Source organism: Homo sapiens, chromosome 18 (assembly GCF_000001405.40).
Source record: "Homo sapiens chromosome 18, GRCh38.p14 Primary Assembly".
Lineage (NCBI taxonomy): Eukaryota > Metazoa > Chordata > Mammalia > Primates > Hominidae > Homo > Homo sapiens.
Genome location: NC_000018.10, coordinates 67,078,976 through 67,084,975, shown reverse-complemented (window position 1 = coordinate 67,084,975; position 6,000 = coordinate 67,078,976). Strand labels below are relative to the sequence as shown.

The 6,000-nt window shown below is 34.4% G+C and overlaps 1 non-coding gene across 1 annotated transcript; it reads right to left on the bottom strand.

The window, feature by feature from the left end:
• Nucleotides 1-3,289: 3,289 nt before the first annotated feature.
• MIR5011 (microRNA 5011) lies at nt 3,290-3,392 on the bottom strand. The gene has a single exon (NR_049809.1). It is a non-coding gene; the product is annotated as a microRNA 5011 (primary transcript).
• Nucleotides 3,393-6,000: the final 2,608 nt, after the last annotated feature.

Here is a 6,000-nt window from a genome sequence, read left to right as displayed (position 1 = left end):
GGCAACTATTTTCCACCTCTGGGATTATTAATACATTTAATAGCTTATATTTAAATTATTTTTATTTGAAATTATTTTCAGTCATTTCCTTTCATGATAGAATAATAAAAGATTAAAAACTCATCCAAATTTACTTTTGTGCTGATGCATATTACTGATTTGATGGTGTTTGAGACTTGAGCTGCTTTTTTCTTTAGTAACATAGATTAGCTTTTAAATCTTCACAATGTGCTGAGATTCCAGAAAATTTTAAAAAATCAATCACATCACATTTATTTCCTAAAATAGATTTGTTGATGTTAAATAGAAAGACACTGTTACTGAAACAAAAACTCTATATTTTTTACTCTAGTATTAACTTATGGAATTCACTAGAGAAAAATATCCAATAGAACTACCTTTTTTGTTTTATCTTGTTTTTGGAATTCTACTTTAATGGCAGGAGCCAAATGACACATTTTCTCTATTCTTTGAAGAAAAAAAAGAATGTCTTAATTAACAGAATTAACAGAAGAATTGTAAAGCAACAACAAAATCATGCATGTAGATATTGAAAAACTGTCAACAGAGTCATTGACAGGCCCAGACTGTGAGGAATCTGTGGAATATGTAAAGCAAAGGAGGTCAGATTCACAGCATAATTAAACTGAGCTAAGGAACATTCCATTCCAAAAAAATAGTAAAGTTAATTTTCCAAAAAGAGATAATGTGAAAGAATCTATAAAATGAGGGCCAGAGCCTTAAAGAAGAACACTATGAGGCATCTAGCTGGTTATCGTATTTAAAAAAACACAAAGTTTCTGCATAGAAAAAGAAAACAATCAACAAAGTGAAGAGACAACCTATAGAAAGAAAAAAAAATTGCATACTGTTTATTTGGCAAGGAATTTGCATATCCAAAATATACAAGATACTCAATTACAAATCTATTAGATATCTCTAGATATAAATATATATGTATATAATTTATAAAATGGGCAAAAAAAATCTGAACAGACATTTCTTAAAATAAGATATAAAGATGGCCAACAGATACATGAAAAACTGCTCAACATCACTAATGATCAGGGAAGTGTATATAATAGAATGGCTATAATAAAAAGAAAAAAAGCAGCCAGGCGCAGTGCCTCAAGCCTGTAATCCCAGCACTTTGGTAGACTGAGGCTGGCGGATCACCTGAGGTCAGGAGTTCGAGACCAGCCTGGTTAACATGGTGAAACTCCGTCTCTACTGAAAATACAAAAAATTAGCCGGATGTGGTTGCACGTACCTGTAGTCCAGCTACTTGGGAGGCTGAGGCAGAAGAATTGCCTGATCCCAAGAGGCAGAGGTTGCAGTGAGCCAAGGTCACGCCATTGAACTCCAGCCTGGGCAACAGAGCGAGACCTGATACTCTGCCTCAAAAAAAAAAGTAACATGCTGGCAAGGATGTGGAGAAAAAGCAAGTCTTGTGTTTTGTACACTGTTAATGGAAATGCAAATTAGTTCAGTAATTATGGAAAATAGTATGGAAGTTCCTCAAAAAACTAAAAATAAAACCACCATATGATATAGCAATCCCATTACTAGGTATTTACCCAAAGAAAATAAATCAATTATAGAAGACGTATCTGTATCTCCATATTTATTGCAGCACTATTCGTGATAGCCAAGATAAGGAATCAAGCTAAATGTTCTTTAAAAGATGAACAGTTGAGGAAATTGTGGCATATATATACAATACAATAATATCCAGTCATGAAAAATAAAATTCTGTCATTCTGCCATTCACAGATAAACCTGGAAGGTATTATGTTAGGTGAGATAAGTCAGGCACAGAAAGATAAACACTGCATGTTCTCTCATATGTGGGAGTTAAAAAATGAGCTTATAGAAGTATAGAGTAGAATTATGGTAATCACAGTTTGATAATGTTATTAAAGACAGAGAAAGGTTGATTAATGGATACAAAGTCACAGCTAGACAGGAGGAATAAGTTCTAGTGTTCTATAGCACTATAGGGTAAGCATAGTTAATAATAATTTATAGTGTATATTAAAAAAACTAGAAGAGATTTGGAATATTCCAAACATGAAGAAATGATAAATGTTTGAGGTGATGTTTATCCTAATTACTCTGATTTGATCATTACACTTCATATACATTTATCAAAATATCACTCTGCAGATTATAAATACATACAATTAATATGTGTAAACTAAAATGCAAAGGAAGAAAAACCCAACAAAGCAATTTCTCCACACGTTACCTAATCCACAACAAATGGCTTCTGAAGTTTACCTCAAGTAAAGGCCATAAATATGACTCTTTAAGGTAGAAATCTTAGAAGTAAGAGTTACTTAGCTTAATGCCCTCTAGGTTTATCCATATGTATTTCATTGTAGTGTTAGTAGCAATAAAGTATAGAAACGACCTAATTGCTCATTGAATGGTGACTGATAGTGTTACATATACAGCCATGCACTGTGTATTGCATCAGTCAACAAAAAACCACATATATAAATGTGGTCCAATAAGATTACGATACTGTGTTTTTAGTGTAATTTTTCTTTGTTTTGGTATGTTTAGATGTACGGATGCTATTGTGTTACAATTGCCTATAGCATTCAGTATAATAATAAGCTATACAGAGTTGTAGCCTAGGAGATACAGTCTATGTCATATTGTCTAAGTGTGTAGTACGTTACACTGCTGTGGGACAGGCAAGGCCCCAAACTGGGGCTTAGCCAGGGAGGATTTCTTGCTTAACCCCGGAAAAAATTCAAGGATGAGCTAGGAGTCTTAGCAATCGTTTATTGAATGGTACTGCTCCTTGCAGAGCAGGGCTAAATCATAGGCAGTGCAATCAGAGTCAGCAACATATGGTCTCTTGGCAACGGTATTTATACTCAGCGAGACCCACATTCAATTGCATGCAAATTGAGGGGTGAGCCAATGCAAATTGAGGGGCAGGTTGTTTAGAACTTTCTAAGGCAGGTCAAATGCATGCAAATTGAGGGGTGAGCCAATGCAAATTGAGGGGCAGGTTGTTTAGAACTTTCTAAGGCAGGGGCAGTAACTTTTAGGTTGTTGCCATGGAAAGAGGTGGTAACTTCTGGGTTGTGTTGCCAGGCTGCTCATATTGCTCATTAGCATAAGACACTACCACCAGCACCATGACAATTAAATTGCAATGAGTAGTTAGAGATTGCTTTTGTTGACATCTGCCACTTCCTATCAGTTTCTTCACTTCATGCTCTCTGGCCAGATCCTGTTTTGGTTAGCAGGGTTGTGACCAAAAAAAAGTCCTGCTGAAAGATGAATGGATAGTGTTATATATACAGCCATGCACTGTGTACCCAAACTACAGAGTGCATGGCTGTATATATAACAGCATCCACTCAATACCATCTAGGTTTGGATAAGGACACTCCATGATGTTCAAACAATGATAAAATTGCCTTAAGGTACATTTCCCTGTTAAGCAATGCATGACTGTGTGTGTGTATATATGTATATGACCATGAAATATTATTCAGCCTTAAAATAGAAGGGGATTCTGCCATATGAGGCAACATGAAAGAAATAAGTTCTATTGTTGGGGGTGAATAGCCATGAGAGTGGAGAAGGCCATCAGTTAATCCATGGTTTGTGGCATTGGCCAAGCATGACAAGCAGTGAAACCATATTCAAATATGGAATCAACTTTTCTGACGATGACAACAAACAACTGTTGGCTTTACTATACAAGTCAGAGGCAATTGTAAGGCTCTTTGTTGTTTAATGCCCCACAGGTAAAACTTTTCTGTCCAGGGAATATTCTAGAGCAATACTGTGCAAGAGACCATTGTGTGATAACACGTGTTCTACCCTTGCATAGTCCAATATAGTAGCCTGTAGCCACATGTGCCTTTGAGTATTTCAAATACAGCTAACACAATGGAGGGACTGACTTTTTAATTATTTTAATGTTTAGTTAATTAAACATTAAAATTAACTTTAAATAGCCAAGTGTAGCTCCAAGAAACATCTGGAGCTACCAGGAACTGGAAGAGATAAGAAAGAATTGTCTCCTAGAATCCTGGATTAAATGCAATCCTGCCGACACCCGAGTTTGAACTGGCTTCTAGAACTGGGGGAGAATACATTTCTGTTCTTTTAGCCATTTGTTTTATGCTAATCTGTTATGGCAGCCTGAGGAAACTAAAACAGATGGCTTCGGGGAGAAATTTGAAACAGAAGCAAGAAGTAAAAACAGTAAGAAACAAACAAGTATGTATTCATCACAGAGGTACAGAAATTAACCATCAAATATCCCAGGCCCTAGGGGAGGAAGTGCCACGGTGGCAGCAGCGCTATCTCATCAGACTGTTCCTGTGGGGGGATTTTACTGCCATTCTGGAACCTGGTTTCCATGGGGCTGCCCTGTTCTGAGCCTGTTTCTTTAGCCTTCCAATAATTATATGATTTATCCAATATAATCTATTACCTGGTTTAGGTCAATTGGAATGGATTTCAGTCATCTACAACCAAGAACACTGACAGGTATACTAACACCTGTCAGATAGTATTGTGAATTGTGGGGAAAGTGTTCCTAAACATGACAAAACACAAGAAAGCATTAAAAAATGGTGACAGATATGAGTATTTATGAGTTAGTTAATAAACATATATGACAATTTATATGGAAAACAAAGTATGTGATGCATGATGGATTAGGAAAACATACAATATATGTAACGAAATGATATACAATGTCAATATTTATTTTTAAGAAGCAATACTAAATTACAAAATAAAATATATACAATTCTATAGGAATAGAATGCAAATTACCAATACATACATGAAAATTAGAAAACTTTTGCAATTAGAAAAATATAAATCAAAACAATAGTGTTATACTACTTTTTTCTGAAATTAAATTGCAAAATTAATATATCCAAAGATACTCAACATGATCCATATTAGACATGGATGTGTGAAGAAGGCACTCCAATCTAGGTTTTTAAGGATATAAATTTGTAAAGCCGTGTCTCAAGAATGTGTGACAATAATTCATGAGTGGCAATTTAGTATACGTTAAGCTTTGATCCAGGTAATTTAATTAAGATCTATCTACAAAGATAAACACACTTGCACACAAGTTTCTAAGGGTCAGATGGCTTACTGTACAATTTTCAGGATGTTATTGTATCATTGGTCACATCTTAATTTCTTAATTGTCCATGCCCATGGTTTTATCAGAGAAAATGAGCTAAGAACCCCAGAGACAATGGAGAGTTTGCAATGTAGTTTTTCTTTAATTTTTCATTTTAAGTTCAAGACGTCCGAAGGTGTATCTACTGGCTAGAAAAAATTGATATGTTTCCAATTACATTTCTATACATACATGGATGTGTTTGTGTGTATAGCTTTTTTGTCACAAAACCTGAGGACATACAGATAATAAATGCCTGAGAAGTATGTTGCTCTTCTTAAAATAAAACACATGATGAGTTTCCCTTTTGTTTGAGGAAAGCAGAACAGTGCTTTGCTTCGCATTGAGAATTTATGATTGCCATAAGAAAGCAGTGGTGAGCAGATAAAAGCTGTCACAAAAGAAATTTAAATTGAGCTGAAATTTTTTTTTTTGGCAACAGCTAAATTTTAAAGTTATAAGCAGAGTAACCTTGGGAAATGCCATATATATTAGTATTCTTATTTAACAATGATTGTAATTAAAAGAGCTCATTGCATTAGAAAAGAAAAATCATGCTTAAGACTCTGAAAGTTTAGAATTCCAATAAGGTAAAATAAATGTTACTTCATATTAATGTGGATACTTCATAAATTTTAAAAGTATTTCTGTCTCATCAACTAGAACTCAAAACTTATAGGGCTAAGTACACATTTTTAATTATTTTCTAGTCTAATATTTGAAAATCCACTTTCATTTAAATGATTTCATGAGCTTAATTACCCTAATATACATGGTAGAGTTACGTACATTATCCAGTTTATAGAATAGAAATAAATAAA